The sequence below is a fragment of the Homo sapiens genome, chromosome 12 (genome assembly GCF_000001405.40).
Source record: "Homo sapiens chromosome 12, GRCh38.p14 Primary Assembly".
Taxonomy (NCBI): domain Eukaryota; kingdom Metazoa; phylum Chordata; class Mammalia; order Primates; family Hominidae; genus Homo; species Homo sapiens.
Window position 1 is genome coordinate 43,717,276 of NC_000012.12, and position 22,761 is coordinate 43,740,036.

Below are 22,761 nucleotides of genomic sequence, written 5' to 3' on the forward strand. Positions count from 1 at the left end.
ATGATAATTGTGTCTCTCTAAAGTAGACTGGAGAGGATTAGGGGTATCAGTGGGGGAAAAAAATGATTACCTTTCTTTAAATAATTATAAGAAAAACAAAATACAACTACTAGGGAAGATATTAAGTATAGAATTTGTATAAAATTTCAACATAAAATATTTTTGCAATTTTAATGAGACATTCGCGCTTGCTTTTCTGACCATAATATTTTAATAGTGGGTTTTGTGTGTGCAATGGGTATATACACTTCTTGGCTAAACTTAGGATTAAAAGAATAACAGGCAAAGTGTTTGTGACAGTGCCTACCAAATAGTAAATGCTGTTTAACTGCATATAAAATTTTTTGGAAAATTTTAGTCTTCTTTTAGAGTCATCCAAAGTTTACAGCTATTGAAAAGTCCTCCAGGTTCATCCATGTTATAGCAAATGACCGAATTTCCTTCTTTTTAAAGGCTTAATAGTATTCCATTGTGTATATGCACCACATTTTCTGTATCTATTCATCTGCTGAATGGTTGGTTTGTATTGTGGCTACTGTGAATGCTGCTGCAATAAACGTGGGAGTGCAAAGATCTCTTCAACATACTTACTTCATTTCCTTCGAATATATGCCCAGTAGTAAGATTGTTGAATCATATGGTAGTTCTATTTTTAATTTTTTGAGTAGTTTCTATACTATTTTCTATAATGTCTGTACTAATTTACATTCCCACCAACAATGTACAAGGATTTCCTTTTCTCCACATCCTTGGCAAGATTTGTTCTTTCATCTTTTTTAATAATAGCCATTCTAAGAGATGTGAGGTGATAGTCACTGTGGTTTTGATTTGCATTTCCCTAATGATTAGTGATGCTGAGCATTTTTTCATACACCTATTGGTTATTTATATGTCTTTCTTTGAGAAATGTCTATTCAGGTCCTTTGTCCATATTTTAATCAAGTTTTTTTCTTGCTATTAATTACTTTTGGATATTAACCCCTTATGATATGTATGGTTTGCAAATGTTTTCTCCCATTCCGTAGGTTGTGTCTTCATTCTATAGATGGTTTCCTTTGTTGTCATGGTAATCACCATGGGTTTTCTCATAGACTACTCCGCTATTACGTTTAAAATGCAAGTTCACCAGCCGGGCACGGTAGCTCACCCCTGTAATCCCAGCACTTTGGGAGGCTGAGGGTAGACTACTTCCCTATTACATTTAAAATGCAAGTTCACCAGCTGGGCACAGTAGCTCACACCTGCAATCCCAGCACTTTGGGAGGCTGAGGGGGGCGGATCAAGAAGTCAAGAGATCAAGACCATCCTGGCCAACATGGTAAAACCTCGTCTCTACTAAAGATACAAAAATTAGCTGGGCATGGTGGCACACACCTGTAGTCCCAGCTACTCGGGAGGCTGAGGCAGGAGAATTGCTTGAACCCGGGAGGCGGAGGTTGCAGTGAGCCGAGATTGTGCCACTGCACTCCAGCCTGGCAACAGAGTGAGACTCTGTCTCAAGAAAAAAAAAAAAAAAAAAAAAAAAAAAAAAAATATATATATATATATATATATATATATATATGCAAGTTCAATATATGTGTTCGTTTGTGTGCATCTGCGTGTGTGTGTGTTCCCCAAACCCCAAAGCAAAAACAGGGCAGCTTTTAAAAACGAATCTGTTTCAATAGAGCTGAAAGGATTATTAACAGATTTAGTAGTTTCCTCAAACCAAAGGATGTTTTATAATATTTATTCTTGCATTCTAAAAAATTTGATACATAACAATATAAAAGTCCTTAAAATTTATTGAAAGTGTAAGTAATATTTTTAGAACATATACTCATGTAACCAAATTCAGGCCAAAAGATAGTCTGAGAATGGAAATTTACATTCCAAACACACACTGAAATAGAGATGCAAAAATCCTAAACAAAATATTAACAAATAATGTGATTGATCTCAGAAACAGTATTGAGTAAAACAAGGAAGACACAAACACAGATATGTACAATTCCATTCACATAAAATTCAAAATCAGACAAAACTGTGTATTTTTTAGGAATGAATACATGGGTGGTAAAGCTATCAAGAAAAGTAAGAAAAGTATTATAAAAGTTGAAATAAAGCTAACCTTGGAGTTGAGGACTTGTGATTAAAGAGGTGTTCATGAAGGATTTCTTGGTTGCAAAGCAGTCTTCTATCTTTTAGGTGTGGTCTCATAAAGTAAGAAACAGGTGGGGGGACTCTTCTTTATTTTTTCTAATCTCAGGAAAGTTTGTGTAGACTTGAATTATTATTTTTTTGAATGTCTAGTAGAACCAACCATTGAACACATCTGGCCCTGACCTTCCCTATATGGAAAAATTTTAAACTACTGGTTCATTTAATGATTACAGGATTATCATTATAGTATTCACATAACATAATACTGTCAAATTATATTTTTAAATGAATTTTCCATTTTATCTAAACTTTCAATAATATTGGCAGAAAATTGTTCATAATATTCTATTATCTTTTTAATTTTTACAGCACCTATAGTGATTTCCTTTCCAATTATGATATTGGTTAGTTGTAACTGCATTATTTCCATCAGTCTCACCACAAGTATGTCAGCTCTACTAGTATTTTCAACAAACCAACTTTTGGATTTGTAGATCGTCTCTTCTATTCTGGTTTTATTTCATTCATTTCTGTTTTAAGTTATCCTTTCCTTCTTTCTTTTGATGTTCTACTTGATGTCATTTTCCTAACTTCTTTAGATGGGTGCATAGCTACATAATGTACAGACTTCCTTCTTTTCTACCATAAGCATTTATGAATATAATCTCCCTCTACATGCTGCTTTAAGTGCATCCCACAAGTTTTGATGTGTAGTATGGTTTAATATCATTGACTTAAAAATATTTTCTAATTTCATTTTGTCTTACTTGACATATAGATTACTTAGAAGTGTATCTCTTCATCTGTAATCCCAGCATTTTGGGAGGCTGAGGCTGGCAGATCATTTGAGGTCAGGAGTTTGAGACCAGCATGGCCAACATGGTGAAATCCCATCTCTAATAAAAATACAAAAATTAGCTGGGTATGGTGGCACACGCCTGTAATCCTAGCTCCTTGGGAGGCTGATACAGGAGAATCACTTGAACCCAAGAGGCAGAGGTTGCAGTGAGCCAAGATCGTGCCACTGCACGGGTGATAGAGTGAGACTCCATCACAAAAAACAAAAAATAAATAAGTGCATCTCTTAATTTCTGATATATAGAGATTTTCCTGTTATCTTTTTGTTGTTCATTTCTAGCCTAATTGTGTTGTGGCAAAAGAATATACTCATATGGTTTCAGTCATTTGAAATTTTATTGCATATGCTTATAGTCCAGTGCATAGTCAATTTCTATAAATGTCCCATGGATGCTTTAAAAGAATAGAGGTTCTGTGGCTGCTGAGTATATTGGTCATTCAGTATACTGTTAAAGCTGCCTTTAAGGTTTTTCTTTTTATTATTGATGTTTTGCATATTCACTATGATGTATCTCAATGTAGTTTTTTAATTTACACTGCTTGGGATTCACTGAACTTCTTAAATCTGTACTTTACTGTCTTATTAGTTCCAGATAATTCTCCATGTTTTCTCTTTCTCTAGTTTCCTAACTGCATTCTATATGTGTCCTCATCTATAAAATGAAAATAATAACAGTACTTATCCCACATGTAAGTACTTGTTGATAAAATATAAAATGCTTAGTACACAGTACTCAATGATTGATAGCTATTGTCATTACAACACTTAAAGTGAATTTTCCCCAACTTTCCTTAATGTCATAAAGTTTTAGAAATATGCAGATAAATTCAGAGATAAGCAGATATTAAATAATCACTAGCTAGGCAAAGTGGAAAACTGAAGCACTTTCCATTAGAAATCAGTAGAGCAAGTGGTTATCATCATGCCCTTAAAACCAAAAAGGGCCAGGTTAGACTCTCTTTACAATCTAGAGGAAGCTACTTAACTTCTTCAAGCCCTGGAATCCTCATTTGTTAAATGAGACTAGTTATCATACCTGACAGCTTGTTCTAAATTTTAAATCAAATTCTACAATGCATTTAATATTTCAATAAAAGGCAAAGATGAAAGTATTACAAAAGAAAAAGCATTATAAAGATACCCAATTTTAATACTCTAAACTTTCTATGAGGGGAAATAACTATTTCAGAACTTTCTTGAGATGTGTATTCAGCAAATAAATTTGCTAAGGTATATTTGCAGTATTCACTCAGCATTTTTAACCCTGTTATATGTCAGGCACTGATAGGTGCCAGAGGTATAAAGATCAATGCTCTTGAATAATTCACAGTAGATGATCCAGATATTTAATCAAATAAGTACAATACAATGTGAGCCATGAGATGGTAGAGAACTATACAAAAGGCTATGAGAACACAGATTTCACATAAAAGACATTTAATATAAGCAGAGATGTTCCAGCCAATGGGAATGGGAGGTTGAGGTGTATAACATGGGAACATTTGCTATTAGGCTGAGCATCTCTAATCTGAAAATTCAAAATCCAAAATCCAAAACTTTTTGAGTACTGACATGATGCCACAAATGGAAAATTCCACACCTGACTTCATGTGATAGGTCACAGTCAAAATGTAGGTGCACAACATATAGTCTATTCAGTGTTCCCAAGGGAAAAATAAATTACCTTCAGGTTATGTGTATAAGGTATATATGAAACATAAATGAATTTTGTTTAGACTTGGGTCCCAACTCTAAGAGTATCTCATTATACATGTACAAATATTCCAAAATCCAAACATATCTGAAATCTGAAACTTTTAGTCCCAAACATTTTAGATAAGGGATATTCAACCTGTATTTGTGAAACAGCTGTAACAAAGGGTATGTACTATGGAGTAGTGACAGAAGCCACTTGAAGATTTGGGGCCATACTTGCAGGTGTAAATGTGTTATGTTGAGGGGTTTGGACTGTTACTGCATAGATACTGGAAAGCTTCTGAAATGTTCTATGGCCCCAAAACAATGACATTTCTACTTTTTGGAGAACAATTGACATAGTAAACAAGATGGACTGACTAGAGTGAAAAACGAAGGCCACCCAGTTAGAACATTATTATAATCATCAAAATAAAGAAGACATAAAAAATAGTCATCAAATGTTTTCAATGCATTGGGATAATGCTCTTCCAACTTAGAATAACTGCTTCCCAGATTTGCTATTGCCTCCTAAATGTGAAAATTATATTATTATTTACATAGAATAAAAATGTATTCGATTCCTTTGCGATATTTTATAGAAAAATAAATTAGTTTCCTTTTGAAAATCATATGCAAAAAATTCATTTTATTATAACCTATCATTCATTTTATTATAATGGAATTATAAAGGTTATAGAAAAAATATCCATCTTCCCTTTTTAGAAAAGAACACTAGTCCTTTATGTTCCCCTGCCACAGGGGAGGCATTGGAAACAATGATCAGCTCAGATTAAAACCCTATTGTACTGAAAAACTCAGAATCCTGACTTAACTAGTCTAAGGAAATGCCAGTAAGGCTTATTAGAAAAGGGAGGCTTGGTATAAAAGCATAAAGAATTGAGTTCAACCCCCTCCACTCTTCACCCTATCCTGCTGCCCAAACACCCTTAGTTAAGGAGTGACCAGCTCTTTGATCTCTTCTCTTTTAAAATAACCAAATAGCTCTTGTTTTGACTCCATGGCTAAACTCCATCCTTGCAACAGGAGTTTTATTTCTACATTGGTAGTTGAGTTTCTAACAAAAAAGACAATTTAATATATCTTATATTTTGTAATATGTTCTAAAGACTAAATTTAAATAATTTCATGGCTATTCTGACTTCTTTCCATAGTAAAATTTTTCTTTTGTAAGAGATGGCCTATGTACACAGGCAGAGTAAATTAACTCCTGCCTCAAAGTTGCTGAGAAAATGAATTGCTTAAGAAGATTAGAGTCATTTTCTTTACTTAGAGGTATTCTTGACAACCCACACTGAAATTACACAAGATTAACTCCATTAACACCATTTCCCATTCTTTAAACTAGTAGCTTTTTAGAAAGCAGCATTTAGACTGAATAGTTCAAAGCATATTTTAAGAGGAGATCTCAAGATGCTTAGAAATGCTAAATAAGTATCATTTAAGGATTTAGAATGGAGTGCTGAGAGGTCAAGTAACATATTATTGGTCATACAGTGAGCTGTAAGTGAAATGAAAAGATGCTGCTTGTTTTTCTCTTTACCATTTAGTCTGCATATTCCACTTGCAAGTGGCATTTCAAATCAAATGAAAACAAGGGATATTAACACTGTTAATCCCTCAAAGAAAGGGATATTATTTATTTTTGTCTTTCCCATAGCATTTTGTAGAGTACCTTTCACTTATTCAAATATTTGTTGGTTATTATGCCATATATTTGACATTATTTTGTGGCCTATTAAATATACATAAATCAGAGGGCTTAGAAAAACAGATTAAAACAGTACTATAAGAGAATCTTTCTGAAACTAGAAAGCAAAATCTATTAACACAGGCCCTAAACTTTAAACTAGTTATCCTAGCTGCCATTGGTGCCATTAAAATCTCTCTCTCTCAAAATGTTGTCATGAGCCACCAAAACCATTCTGAACAAATGCAATCATAACCCATTAATTCCCTTAAATTTCCCTCTTTGATCTTTATGCAATCTTCAGTGTTTTTAACCGCAAAATAATACACAAATATACTCATGTTTGAAATTCAAACATCAAAAGTAAATGGAGGAAAAAAGTCCCATTTTCCTACCTCCCCATATCTTCCTCCAACCTCTTTTCCTACCCTTACATTAATGTAAAAGACTTTGCATTAAATTATATAGAGTTTCATTTTCTTTTTGTTCTCTTAAAGATTACTCCCAGGTAGAAAACGTTAAGGAACATTGACCTAGACAGCTCTTAAAGATCCTAATTTGAATGAACTACTGAATCCCCAGATTTAGAAATAGTTGTTTCTACTACTACAAAAAAAAAAACCTCTAAAAATATGAATTGTAATTACTTTATGCTAAAACTAAGTCAGATCAGACCTCAATGGAAAGTCATTAACCATTTTATTATAAAAATTTTATCAGGGAGCATAGTAAAGTAATACTAACTGTAATAATACTAGCTGAAATTTACTGAGAATTTGCTAGGCACCAGACATTGTTCTTAGTGTTTCATAAGACTTGCTAAAATCAACTATCAGTAAAATTTTAAGATATAGCATGTGGTCATCAATGCCTCTGCTCATAATGTCTCAAATTTGTATATATTTCATAATTTTGTTTGATGCAATACTATCCTGGACTGAAAAATGATAACTAACAGTACTTCAAGTCCAAGAATTCTACAACAGAATCAGTGGGTTACTAAAGTCGCATATTAAAGCAGTGGTAGAGCCCATCTCTGATTTCAGGGATTCTCAACTGTACCAGTATATTTCCCATACTCTAATCCTTCATGTATTGGTATCATAATTACTGCTATGTCTATACTATTATTTATTTAATACCTTTAAATTGATTCTACCTCTTTAAAATTAAATTTAGTTTTAAAGGAAACATAATACCATCACATAAACAGGAAGCCAGAATTGATTACCATAAATAAAAGGGAAGATAAATTCAATAAAACAATGCAATCCTATTACATTCTAGCTACATATTATATTGTTGACTGCTGATGTTTCTGAGCCTGAGGCCTGCATAGTTGGCTAAAAAGGTAAATCAGCCAATGTTGATATATGTAAATAGTATCAATCAGCTTTCTCCTTCCTTAAACAGAATGATTGATGTGAGGACTGAAAGTATATTGAAAAAGAACAAGTTTCTCACTATGCTTTTTCAATGATATTTGTGCCAGGTACCATCTAAAACACCTCCTATGATCTATAATGATTTTACATATTATTATGATACAAATCCCAAAATACTTTGGGAAAACTCCAAAATGATTTGGGGATTTCCTGAAGGGATCCCCTTTACTTTATATTTTGGTCTCAGAATCAAAAGGTATCTTGTCTCTCCCAAGACATGCCCCAATATGCCTATTAAATCAATGGCAAGTTATATCAAGTTGGTAGAAATGGAAGTTATATTTTAATTTTTAGTTTAGTTTTTTTTTTTTTTTGAGGTGGAGCCTCGCTCTGTCACCTAGGCTGGGCAATCTCGGCTCACTGCAACCTCCACCTCCCGGGTTCAAGCGATTCTCCAGCCTCAGCCTCCCAAGTAGCCCAGCTAATTTTTTTATTTTTAGTAGAGACAGGGTTTCAGCATCTTGGCCAGGCTGGTCTTGAACTCCTGACCTCGTGATCCACTCGTCTTGGCCTCCCCAAAGTGTTGGGATTACAGGCGTGAGCCACCGTGCCTGGCCTAAATGGAAGTTAATATCCAAAAACTTGTTCTCAGAAGGCAAATGTTAGGTAGATGAAAACAGTACTGATTTAAGAAGCATAATCAAGCTCAACCACACGCTATTTTGTTTGACCTTGATTAGGTTAGTAAACTACTCAGGTATGTTTCCAATCTGCAAATAAGGGAAGATAATACCTCCACACAGGGTGGGAATATGGATTAAAGTGTGAGATACTGACATAATAGATACTCAGAAAATGTTAGTTAAATCAAAAGTTACATGACTTTCAGTTTTTTACAGCTCACAAAAAAAAAATCAAGGTGTTTTAATTTTAATATTAGTAAAAGACCTCAATTTGTTTCACCTAACCGACTCCCAGGCACTACTGCTAGCTCAGCGTCAAACAACCTTGGCAATTAAAACTAATTCAAATATAGCAATGAGGGAGGCATCACACAACCTGACATCAAACTAAACTACAAGGCTATAGTAACCAAAACAGCATGGTACTGGTACAAAAACAGACACATAGACCAATGGAACAGGTTAGAGAACCCAGAAATAAAGGCCACACACCTACAGCTACTTGATTTTTGTTAAAGTCAACAATAACAAGCAACAGGGAAAGGACTCCCTATTTAATAAATGGTGCTGGGATAACTGGTTAGCCACATCCTGAGGATTGAAACTGGACCCCTTCTTTTTACCATATACAAAAATCAACTCAAGATGGGTTAACAATGTAAATGTAAAACCTAAAACTATAAAAACCCTAGAAGAAAACCTAGGAAATATCATTCTGGACAAAAGACCTAACAAAGATATCATGACAGACTCCAAAAGCAACTGGAACAAAGCCAATAATTGACAAGTGAAGGCTGGGCATGGTGGCTCATGCCTGTAATCCTAGCACTTTCTGAGGCCGAGGTGGGTAGATCACTTGAGGTCAAGAGTTTGAGACCAGCCTGGCCAACATGGTGAAACCCCGTCTCTAATAAAAATACAAAAATTAGCCAGGTGTGGTGGTGGCCACTTGTAATCCCAGCTACTTGAGAGGCTGGGGCAGGAGAATGGCTTGAACCCAGGAGGAGGAGGTTGCAGTGAGCCGAGATTGCACCACTGCACTCCAGCCTGGGTGACAGAAGGAAACTCCATCTAAAAAAAAAAAAAAATTGACAAGTGGGACCTAATTAAACTAAATAGCTTCTGCACAGCCAAAGAAACTATCAACAGAGTAAACTGACAATCTACAGAATGGGAGAGAATATTTTCAAAGTATGCATGAACAAAGGTCTGATATCCAGAATCTATGAAGAACTTAACAAGCAAAAAATTATCCCATTAAAAACGGAAGAAAGGACATGAACAGACACTTCTCAAAAGAAGACATCCATGGGCCAAAAGCATATGAAAAAATGCTGAACATCACTAATCATTAGGGAAATGCAAATCAAAACCACAACGAGATACCATCTCACACCAGTCAGAATGGCTGTTATTAAAAAGTCAAAAAATAACAGATGTTGGGGAGGCTGCAGAGAAAAGGGAATGCTATACACTGCTGATGGGAATATAAATTAGTTCAGCCTCTGTGGAAAGCAGTTTGAAGATTTCTCAAAGAACTTAAAGCAGACATACCATTTGACCCAGCAATCCCATTATTGGTTATATACCCAAAGGAATATAAATTGTTCTACCATAAAGACCATGCACGCCTATGTTCATTACAGCACTATTGACAATAGCAAAGACATGGAACCAACCTAGATGCCCATTACAGTGGACTGGATAAAGAAAATGTAGTACATGTATACCAGATAATACTACACAGTCATAAAAAAGAACAAAATAATGTCTTTCCAGCAACATGGATGTAGCTGGAGGCCATTATTGTAAGCAAATTAATGCAGGAACAGAAAACCAAATACCAAATGTTCTTACTCATAAGTGGGAGCTGAACTTTGAGTACACTTGGACTCTAAGAAGGGAACAATAGGCACCATGGCCTACTTGAGGGTGGAGGGTGGGAGAAAGATGAGGATAGAAAAACAACCTATCAGGTACTATGCTCATTATCTGGGTGATTAAATAATTTGTATGCAGAACTCCCACAAAATGCAATTTACCCATGTAACAAACCTGCACATGTACCCCTAAACCTAAAATAAAAGTTGGAAGAAAAAATAAAAATAAAGCAAAACTTTGGAAATGGGGCTATAGAAGGTCAGCAAAGGGTAGGTTTGAGATGTTTGGGTAGGTTAAGTGGGCATTTTGATGACACAGCTTCTCCTTCGGCATGTTTAATTGGCATGTGATGTTTAAAGGACATCCTTGCAGTTTAAGATGACACTTTAAAAATAAATTAACTCCTAATAATGAGGTGAAGAAAAAAAAAAAACTAATCCAAAGATCATGCTTATGAAGGTCTGAAATGCCCCAGCAAAACTGCAAAAACCTAAGTGACTAGTCATCAGTTGGTCCAAAGCATACTATTAATAATAAAAGTCCTTAAACAAAAAAAGTTTAACATGGCATCTTATTGGCATATAAAATAATATTCCACATGAATGATATCTCAATACATTTTATGGTGATGAAATAAACTTAGTGTTCCTTTATACACTGCTGAAGTATTTACTAAATAAATCAATAAATGTCTAAAATTATAGTGCCATCTGCAGGCAAAAAAAGTAAAATCAATGATATATTTTCATGCTTTCGTATTTTCTGATTGCTATTCAAAACTTTTAAAAACTAGGATTTAATAATGTATATAACTCATTTTATGATTACATTTATAGGATACGATTTATCATATAAAATAAAACATTTTTTCTAAATTTTTTTTACTACCTAATAGAGGATCACTTCATTCTCAATATAACATTAAAATGATGGCAGTAATCCAAAGAAAATCAATGGTACTACAATATCCAATTTTGTGTATTGAGAATTATTTATTGCCAAAACATATAACAAAAAAAACTTTTTAGTATTAAAAAAAATCCAAATACCCCATCATCTTAACAGGAAGGGATTTTCATTTATTTGCTTTTCTCTTCCAAACTTGCATCTGCAGACACTTACTTAACAATAACTAAGTGCCAGGCACTTTTTAAAGTTGCTTTACATATATTAACTTAGAAAATTCTCACAGTAATCCTATGAGGTAGGCAATGTTAACATGCCCATTTTACAGATGTTGAAACTGAAGCCCATGAGTTTAAATAACTTTCCCAAGGCTGCAGTGCTATACGTGGCAGTGCCAGGGTTCAAACTGGGTTAGTTTGTCTCCAATATCTGTGCTTTTAATCACTATGCTAACATGTCTCTTATTTGTGAAAGATGAATTCAGAGTATTATTGCAGTTGTAACATATGTGTTCTACTTTTAGGGGGCAACATTTTCTCATGAAACTAAATTGTTCATTGCTTTTTTAAATAACTACATATTTTACCATCAAGTTGATACACATCATTTTACTTACTTTAGTTACGTAATGCTGGACTTTGAAAACTGTTTTTAGTGTCTGTATATGAAAATATTGCAATAAGCAAATTTTGCATTGCATATAGCTTCTCTTCCTTCTTTTGGATTTTATTTCCTAATGCTAACATTTCCCAAAATGGTTAAACTGGCTTAAGTATATATATCACATTACTGATATATAATGCTCCATACTGCTTTTTAAATTTCATCATTATATCTTACCAACAATGAAAGAAATGCTCAGATCTTCCTAAATCAATACATGTCTACATGCCAGTCATTCCTCCCCAACACACCCATATTTAACTGATATAAAATGGTGAAGGATGATTTATAATGTGGGATAGTTAAACCAACAAAAATTAAAATTTTCAAATGGGCACAATGTTTTGTTCCTCCAGCAACAGAAAATGTGGAGATAATCCTATTATTTGTCATTTATGAAGTTGTAATTGTCTTGATTCTATCAGTAACCACACACAAAAAAATCAACAACATACTCAAAATCACTAGTAAGTGTCAGAGCTAGAATCTAAGAATGAATCTGTCTGACTCTAACACCTGTTTTAGATAATATGAAAAAATTACAAATGGTCAAGAGGGTCAGCGTATGCCAAGATATAAAAATTGGATGAGAAATTGTATTTCAATCTTCATCAAAGATTACTTATCTCACAAAGAGGTAATAACTACTCTGGGGTATCTATCACAAACAGAGGTATGGCATTTCCCTTGTATATTGTTCTGATCAATAATTTCAAAAACAGGAAAGGGGGACAATAATAATTAGCAAAATGCTTCATCTATCTTTCTCTCCAACATTTGCTTCACTGCGACCTAATTTTACTAGTGTTCTAAGCAAGGAGCTGGAGGATATGAATATTCACAACTTTTTTTCTTAAATGTTATCTTGCAGTATTATATATATTCCTAATGGTTTTAAAAGATTGTAACTTTATGACACAGAATAAAGGTCACTGAAACATATAATAGAAAAAAAACACAGGCTTTGGGGTCACATGGACCTTAAATTTGGACCCTGACACTTACATATCCTCTATAAAATTACAGTATCAAATCCTAACTTCTCAGGATGCTGTGAAAATTAAAAGAGATAACAATTATGAAGTTCCTAACACATGGAAGGTGCTTAAGACATTTTAGCCCCCTTTCCTTCAAAGAGTGACATATATATGGTTATACCAAGGGTATCAGTTTTAAACGTCATGCTTCATTATTTCCTTCAGACAAACGGTAGCATAGCATGAAGCATCAAGATCAAAAGAGATCAAAAGAGACAAAGCTGTTTCATCAATGTGGGAACCTTTCGTTTTGACATCAATGTCATGATCTTCCATTAGTTGGTATGAGAGATTACAGGGATGTTTCAAAATCTGTCTATAGCAACCTGGTATATTCAGTTTCAGAGTAGGTACTTTAAACCTACATGTCTGTAGTCCATCTCTGCTAAGTATGTCATGGTACCACTGCCCTACTTTGTTCTTCGGGTACTGAATATTGTATCCAAGTACTGGAAGAACCACCTGTGAAAGAAAAGAGGGAAAAAATATGAAAATAGCCTTCAAAAAGATACATGATCATATTTTTAATGTACTTTTATGACTGCGACCTGGATTTGTAAAAATAGTCTCAGAATATAAACACCACAATCAGCCTAAAACATGCTTTAAATAATATGCTATGATATTTTTATGCTGCCAAAGAAAATAGCTAACTAAAATCAAGGACTCACAATAACTAAGGTAACCAACTCAAATCAGATATTATTAAACAATCCACTGTTTAAGAAGTTTAGGTACACTTAATTAGCTGATAAAGACTTAATCTGTATAAAATAAAGCATGTACTTTCTATAACACAAAGAGTAACCTCTACTGCTCAGTCACATTACCGGTATTTTGGTGGACAATTTTAAATTTTCTTATTTCTTCCAGAACAAGAAAACAAACACATAGCAACACATTCAATGTTTATTTTCTTAGCTGCTTGTGAGTAAACACTGCATTTTGTGGGTTGTTCTTCCTTTGCTGGTGTCTTCTAGACAGTTTTCTTGAACAGCACCAAAAGGTAGTCAAGAAAAGGAAGAAGGTAAAAAATTCAAATATACACAATATGAATGAATCTGAAATTCACTATGCTAAGTGAAAGATGCCAGACACAAAAGGCCATATACTGTAGTATTCCATTTATATGACATTATTTCAAAGGCAAAACCATAGTGACAGAAAACCGATCAGGGGTTGCCAGGGGTGAGGGATGGGAATGGGCGCAGGAAAATTTGGAGAGGGGAGGAAACTGTTCTTTATGATTGATATTTGTGGTGGCCACACAGTCCTACATTTATCAAAAATATGTTTATCAAAGTCTATACAATTGTAAACTAAGTGAATTTAATTGTATATAAATTATACCTTAATTTAAAAGTTGTTTAATAAAAAAGAGGAGGGGAACTAGTTAACATTTTGCTTTTTGGGGACAATGTCTACACTTAGATCTAAGTGATAGTAATTTTTAAGCAAATTTACCTGATGTATTGCATACATATTAGCTGATCCCTCCTCTTCAGTTACCAGGTGAATCTAGTTTTAAAAAACATGAAAATATGAATGATTCCCAAATGTTCCAAATTTCCACCACTTTCAATTTTCCCTAACTCTATTATATATAAATCAGTTCCTATGCTGAATATACATAAACCCAAACAAGATCTTATCATAATTTGTTTCTGGAGGAGTAGACTACATAAAAATTAGAATGATTCTTCCTGCTTTAACCACTAATCACTGAATTTGGATAACATGGAGAAAGGTGGGCTGCTGAAAACTCTGAGGCAATACTTTCACCTCAATCACCAGCAATCTTTTTCTAAATCACAAAGTTTTTCTTTATTAGGCTGAATTGAAAATCTGCTTCTATAATATCAACCCACTACCCACCCCCACTAATCTCTGTCCCCCGAAAATATAATAATCTATACAGAACTGATTTTTCTCTGACTGGATGTGGTAGCTCACATCTGTAATTCAGTGCTTTGGGAGGATCGCTTGAGGCCAGCAGTTTGAGACCAGCATGGACAACATAGGGAAATCCTGTCTATATAAAAAAAAATTTTTTTTTATTAGCCAGGTGTGGTGGCACATGCCTGTAGTGCTAGCTACATAGGAGACCCAGGCAAGAGGATCGCTTGATCCCAGGAGCTAAAGACTGCAGTGAAACATGATGGTGCCACTGCACTCCAGCCTGGGTGACAGAGCAAGACTCTGTCTTTAAAATAAAATTGAAAAAAAAAAAATTTAAAGAGGTGGTATTTCTCAGCATTTGTTTCATAGAATGGTAACAGGTGTCACATACAAGAGGAAAAAAAGGTGCATGACAGATTAACTCTATGAAATGTGGCTCTAGGATATCACAGAATAAGCAGTTCTGCTTTCTCTTATACATGAAAGCTCAAACAGAAAGGCAGCTATTCTCTCTTCACAAGGCTTCAGCGCATTCTCATATTCCTAAAGCATTCATCACACGGTACAGTGTCTAGAGCCCCTCTAAATCTACCTGATTTCCCCTCAACTCTCCCTAGTCTTATCAATAATGTTGCTCCTTTTTGTTTTTAATTTAGGGTTTGTTTTTTTGTTTATTGGTAACTAACCTCTTTCAGTTACTGCACTCAGAAACAGAAACAAAGCTCCAGATGTGATCTGATCAAAATACAAGAGACAGACTACATGGAATTATGATCTCTCTTGCATCACCATTTCTAGCCTTTTTTCTTTCACAGAGTCATAAGTATACCTACATACTGTGATTTAAGTAATTTATGAAAACATCGAATAAACATGGTCAGGTATAAAACACCATGCTTTGTCTTTAAAGAATTCCCTCCAGGTTGATATCCAGCAATTCATGAACAAACATGCTTTCCTTGTATGGCTGCTCCCCAACTATAAATTCACCTAAGTTTTTAATTGTCTAACTCACATTTCTCCATCTTGCCCACACACACACACACAAAGAAAAGTTACCAAGTGATTTGAAAATGTAGATACACCTGTTAGTCTAGTAACTCTATCAAAAGAAGGAATCAGATTAGTTTTCTATAATTTTTAATTGTAGATGCATATTACATGCCCCATATACCATTTATTAAGAATTTTATTCTTTTTCCTTTTCATATTTTATATTTTGGGCCTCTAAGTCCTGCCTTTTCTTTCCTCAGTGCTAACTAATAAAATAAGTGATCGATCTTAAAATATATATAAACATTGTTTTTGCTGCTCATAAAAGGAAATTCTGCAAAATATGTAGGAGAAAATGTTTTCTCTTCTCCTATAGCTCCAAAAAGAAAGCAGCTAAAATTCCAATCACAAAACTATCCTTGTAAATGTTATTCTGAATGAAGAAGTCTTATAAAACTCATGCATTTCAAAAATTGTTGTATCTTGTGAAAGTAATCTTTAACTTCCAAAAATCTGAATTAGAAATGGATGACTTACTAATTAGTGTGCTTTCCAATATTTAATTGGACATGTTTTCTGGGAGGTGTTAAGAAATGATAACGATTTTTTATTATTTATCAAAAGGGGATCATTGACATATCTCTTCTCCCCCACATGAGGTAAAATAAAACTTAAATGCTACTAGATTTCTTTTCACACAGTTTGAGTCTGTATCTCAATTAAATTACCATTCTTAGTAACATATGCTGCCTCCTAGTGATCATTTTCTTATCATTTCTTTCCTATTAGGTTGGAGCACAAGTAATTGCAGTTTTTGCATATTCATCCATTTAATGAAAAAGTGAAGCCGACATCTGATGTTCTGGCTTATGCAATCTTTACTCCCTCTTTTCAAGTAGCGGCACTCTCATTTTCCAGGGGACCTCTCCCAGGTGTCAGATGTGGATTAGGGTCCCAGGAAGGAGCCCCAGGAATGCAGGTTTAGTCAATCACATACTGCAGTTCACACTTTCTGGTTTGGTTCTGTACATATGATCCAGGCCAGGCCATTCCTAGCCACTGAGACTCAATTACACAGCTTTTGTTGACACTGTTGGGAAAGAAAAATCATTTTTCTGCAGAGAAGCAAGTCTAGAGTGGTGAGAAATAAGCCTAGAGTCGTTAATAATAATCTTGCCACCAAAGGTGTAAGCTAGACTGGGAATGGATCTAACAGAGAAAAGCAGAGCTGAATGATGAAAAAAAGGAGATCGTTTAGGACACTTAAGTCCCAAATACAGCTGCGCCTGAATCAATCATGGGCTTTCAGTTATGAGGACCAATAAATTCCCATGTTTCTTTAAATTACTGTGGGTTTGAGGTGGGTTTCTATTACTTAAAACCAAAAAACCTTAATTAATACATCAAGAATTCTGACATTAATTTAGATAAAGTTTGCTTTATGTAGAGTTCAGAGTCTGTTTTACCTCTATTTTTGAAAAACCGGACCATGTTCTAGTTCTCACTACAGACTACTTCTCTATACTCCATGATTTTTCTAGTAGAGACCCAACAGGGCTAGGAGTTAGGCAGCCGGGTCTTTTTAATTCCACTACTTGTGTGACTCTGAATCTGTCTACTCTCCAATCTGGGACCCAATTTTCATTTCTATAAAATGGGAATTAAAAAAGAGTGTCTCTAAAATCCTTTTGTTCTCTAAAATTCAATGATTTTACTGTTACATACGAAAGTGTTACTCAAATTTTCACTAATTTTTAAAATTTATGAGACTGACTTATGATAAAGTTGGAGAATAATAATTTGTTCTTTTTGCATTACAGCACTATCAAATGAATTTCCTTGCATGATTTATGGAACCCAGTTTCATTAGTTCAAACTCACAGAGATAAAAACAACTGGATGGCCGGGTGCGGAGGCTCACGCCTGTAATCTCAGCACTTTGGGAGGCCGAGGCGGGTGGATCACGAGGTCAGGAGATCGAGACCATCCTGGCTAACATGGTGAAACCCAGTCTCTACTAAAAATAAAAAAAAAATTAGCCAGGCGTGGTGGCAGGCATCTGTAGTCCCAGCTACTTGGGAGGCTGAGGCAGGAGAATGGCGTGAACCCGGGAGGCAGAGCTTGCAGTGAGCCGAGATCGCGCCACTGCACTCCAGCCTGGGCGACAGAGCGAGACTCTGTCTCAAAAAAATAAAAAAATAAAAAATAAAAATAAATAAATAAATAAAAATAAAAAATAAAACTGGACAAGGAGGAAATGGAAGGACCAAGCTTTATAATATAAACTATATTATAACTTCACTAATATAAATGTCTCTAAGACATTGTTAAGAGGAAATTATGAATCATATTTAGATAAAATCACATTTCTATAAAAGAAATACACACATTACATTGTTCCATATACCATTATAAAAATCATATTCCTTCTCCTCTCCATATTTTAAGTTTTGAGTCTCTAAGTCCTACCTTTTCTTTTCTCGGTGTTAACTAATAGAATAAAAATAGATTTTCAATGGATATTTATGTGAAAACATACAGAAAGGTCTAGAAAGACACATAACAAACAACAGAGGTTGAGTCTCTGGAGGAAGCACAGGGAATCACATTAGGATGCTAGCAGGGATGGCAGCCTCATCTGTAATGTTTTTATTTTTGTTTTTAGGCACAGTCTCGTTCTGTTACCCTGCCTGGAGCGCCATGGCACGATCTCGGCTCACTGTGACCTCCGCCTCCCAGGTTCAAGAGATTCTCCTGCCTCAGCCTCCTGAGTAGCTGGGATTACAGGCGTGCGCTACCACACCTGGCTAATTTTTGTATTTTAGTAGAGATGGGGCTTCACCATGTTGGTCAGGCTGGTCTCAAACTCCTGACCTCGTGATCCGCCCACCTCAGCTTCCCAAAGTGCTGGGATTACAGGTGTGAGCCACCACGCCTGGCCTTGATTTTTATTTTTATGGGCTGTTTTGTGCATTATTTGTGTAATCTTTTTTAAAATGGGTTTTTTAAAGGAAGCTTTACTACCTATATATCTTTCACTCCATACCACTATTTTTATCTTTCCATTTACCAACATGTGTTAAGCCTAAACTGACAGCAGACTTGAAGCAGGAGATGAGTAAATATAAGTACAAATAGATAAATAAATTACATGTATGTTTAAAGTGTTTCTATAATCAGGGCTTTTGAAAAATTCATGTTCTGGTATAGTAACTACTCTTGGAAAACTCTGATGGAATGATACTTACTTTACTATTTGGGAAATTCTCGTCATCAATGTCTTCATCCAAACAGACCAAATCACCCTGCACTACTCTTGCTCCATAGGTTTCAAGTCTGTAAGATACTGCCTCATTCCAAATTTTGCTGGTATATGCGTGAACATAGAATATGCGCATGGAATGGGGTAAAGAGAACCATGCCTGGATACAACCTTCCTCGGTCATGCCAAAGCGGTGCAATGCCTCCAACAATGCTCTCTCACGCACTTTGAATTCAGGCATCAATGAAAGTGTGCCTTTAGCATCCTCTGAAACAAAGGGTAAATCAGGTATAGTTAGCCACTTTTATTTAAAGGCCAGTTATAAAGGCTTTTGTTCTAATCTCAAACTGAGGCAATGAACATGGGTATTAAGATGATATTCAACACTTTCAGTTAAACCTAGCTACACTTGAAGAGCTTTAAAAAAAATAATAAGCATAATATGGCCCTACTTTCACTTTCCCTGCTATTAAAAAAAAAAAAAGCCAAGAATCCAACATTAGTAACAGCTTACTAAAGTCCCTTACTTCAGAATAGAGATAATCTAATGAAGTTATTCACAGGACTGTTAAAACAAAATCAAACAAACAAACAAAAAACCTAAAGGATTAAATAATTTAATTGCTGAGCTAGCAGAGGCTTGAGTTTTTTAAAGAGCTATTCTGGACATAAACACAGAATTTTTTTACTAAGAAAGGGTTGAGATCTGGAGCCTTCAGGCACACTATTATGCCTCACAAATGCACTTTGAAATGTAGATGACTGGAATCTACCACAAAGATGCTTATTCACGTATGGCCTTGGAATTGGCATTGAAATAGATGTACCAGGTGTTTCTTATGCATATGAATGTTTAAGAATCATTGCCATAAGGAAATTATCATCTCGGGACTCTATAACAGACATAAACAAGTCACTTTGAATTTTCCTTATTATTACTTAAATTACTCATAAGAGTTAGAAGTGTCCACACTGTTTACACATTGTGGTATGGCACAAAAATACTACTTTCCTGCGAATAGCTGCACATATGTAATATGTACATAATTAAAAATAATAAATAAATATTTGAAAACTGACATCCTTTATTTCAATATAAGTGAAATTCAGTATGTCGGTCAGATATCTGAATGAATCTGAAATGGTGTGCTTGCTGTTTTTATTATTTAAATAAAGGTAATATTTATAATATTATAAATAATATTATTTAAATAAAGGTAATATTTATCTCTGTGTAGTACACGCAAGGCATTATTCCAAGGGCATATCTAAATCTCATAATACTCTTTTAGGTACTGTGATTTGCTTCAATTTACAGATAAGGAAACTAACACAATGATGTCAAATCACTTGCACAAAATCATACAGTTGGGAAGTATTAAAGTTGAGAGTTAACCCCATGCAGTCTGACTCAAGCCATACTCATAACCACTTTTCCTTAGTGGTTTTCATCAAGCATTCTATATGTATTCCATCATACTGACCTAACGTTTTAAAAATTGACAGGGCTAATTGGCAGCTAGAATGAGAATAATGTGTAAAGTTTGGAATATCATAAATGAACTTTTATTTATTTGTGTTTGTATCTCCCCCAGCTGCAATTAATTATTGTCATCAGTGCCAGATTCGAATTTGGAACTCTCTCTCAGAGGATTTCAGCCAAGAAAAACTAAGAAACTATTTCTCCCATTGCCCCTACCCCTAGACAAGACTTAGCATAGACAAAAAAACTTCCAAATCTGACCAAAAACGAAGTGAGTGCCTAAGTCATGTAATAAAAGTGTTCAGTATGTAATATACTATAATTTATTTCTTATCACATTTATGTTACAATAAATGCTCTCCTGCTGATAAAACATTTATAGTGTGTATCTGTATCTGCATGGTTATGTACAGGATAAAGAAACGTAAATACCAGTTTGAAGAAAATACTTCTTTGCTCTATTTACAGGATCATCCAAGTCTTCTGGTGTAAGAAACAATTTTATGGCTTTCATCTTAAAAAATCAAGCAGGTAAACATGTGTTAATGAAAATGTCAAATTACTTTCTTTAAAAAAAGATGCAAATTCTCTAGCATCCTAAAAGAATAGGGATTTAATAATTATACTTGATGCTGCAATTTTCTCTTTAGGCTTGCAAAAATTAAACAGACAATGTTAAATGTAGAAATAAGCCTTCTGCATGAAATAATTTTATATATAGGTTTAAAATATTATGGACTGAAAAAAGTATTTCCCTATCACTTCCATAATTCTACTTTTGTCATTTTTTTTAAATATTAAAGTTAAAATGTATTGACATTCTTAGTAAGGTGTAAGAATTCTGAAAAGCTTAGGCTAAATGTATTAAACCCTTATTTTTAAACTGTTTCCAAAAGCAAAAAAATTAGCAAGTATTATAAATAGTAAAACTTTTTTGCAGTCATTTCAGGTTCTTAACAACCCACCAGAAGAAGCACCAAGAAAACCTAGCATATTTCCTAAGACAGTGAAAACTGAGCCCCTTCTGGCCTAAAAATAAATATTAAATAGTTCTTTAATATTTAAATAGATGTGTTTGAAAATATTTAATATTTAAATGGCTGGAGTAGAAGTAAAATTAAACCAATGTTTGTATTGTTACAGAAGAAAAAAGAAAAAAAAATAGGGCAAATGAAAAAGGAAGACAATGTCCAGATCAAAGAGTTAAATATGGACACAAGAAATGCAAGCAGCTGTAAAGTGAAAGATCAAGAACCACTCTGAGGGCTCAGAAGTAGAAACTAGTGAACTCCAAAAGCAACCCTCAAAGAAAAACAAAAAAGCAAGAAAGATTTTAAGTATCCAACTTACCTGAGTCAAAAAAGGGAAGAAGAAAAGAAGTAGCTCTGAAGATGTAGAATGCCTCGCTCCCAGAGCAAAAGTAAAGAAAATCACTCAGAAAGACAACATTAAAAAAAGAAGCCTCAGAAGTTTCCAAAGAAAACACAGCTATAACTTTCAGGTTAGGATTAAATGAATTAAAGTTATGTTTCACCCATTTCACAGCCACAAATATCTTTTTTGTTTGTTTTTTTGAGACGGAGTCTCGCTCTGTCACCCAAGCTGGAGTGCAGTGGCGCGATCTTGGCTCACTGCAACCTCTGCCTCCCGGGTTCAACCTATTCTCTTGCCTCAGCCTCCTGAGTAGCTGGGACTACAGGCGCCCACCACCACGCCCGGCTGATTTTTGTATTTTTAGTAGAGACAGTCTTTACCATATTGGCCAGGCTGGTCTCGAACTCCTGACGTTATGATCCTCCTGCCTCAGCACAAATAACTGGCTTTTTTATTTCTCAAGACTTAGAAGTCCTTGAAGAACAAAAGGATGCTGGAAATATAAAAGATGGTTCTCCCTTAAAACTAAAAAGGATTCATAAGACAAAAGATAAAGAGAGACATAAAATTGGAGAAGAGGTTATATTGAGAGTACTATCAAAGTAAGTACACAGTATAAATTCTATTGTCATTGGCAATTGACAGACAACCTAGAGTTCTGTCATCCTTTATCTCTATTATTGAGCCAAGAACACAAGGGTAAAATAATGGCATACATTTCAGACTGGACCAACACACATGACAAAAATAGGAAAGTAGCAAGCAGAGGGGAATGGCAAGCCCTT

At 34.6% G+C, this 22,761-nt stretch overlaps 1 protein-coding gene across 11 annotated transcripts in view; it reads right to left on the reverse strand.

Annotated features, from left to right (window-relative positions):
* Positions 1–1,716: 1,716 nt before the first annotated feature.
* Positions 1,717–22,761, reverse strand: part of PUS7L (pseudouridine synthase 7 like) — a 39,799-nt gene continuing 18,754 nt past the window's right edge. For 7 of the 11 annotated variants that reach the window (NM_001271826.2, XM_011538791.3, NM_031292.5 and 4 more), the window contains 4 exons: positions 21,035–21,116; positions 19,106–19,386; positions 14,430–14,483; positions 1,717–13,427 (listed from right to left, as the gene is read on the reverse strand). In NM_001271826.2, coding sequence (NP_001258755.1) covers positions 13,101–13,427; positions 14,430–14,483; positions 19,106–19,386; positions 21,035–21,116 — 744 coding nt within the window. In that variant the 3' untranslated portion in view covers positions 1,717–13,100. Of the gene's footprint in view, positions 13,428–14,429; positions 14,484–19,105; positions 19,387–21,034; positions 21,117–22,356; positions 22,502–22,761 lie in introns of those variants that run through there. The other 4 variants (XM_006719623.3, XR_944748.2, XM_047429626.1 and 1 more) reach the window with 4 other exon arrangements.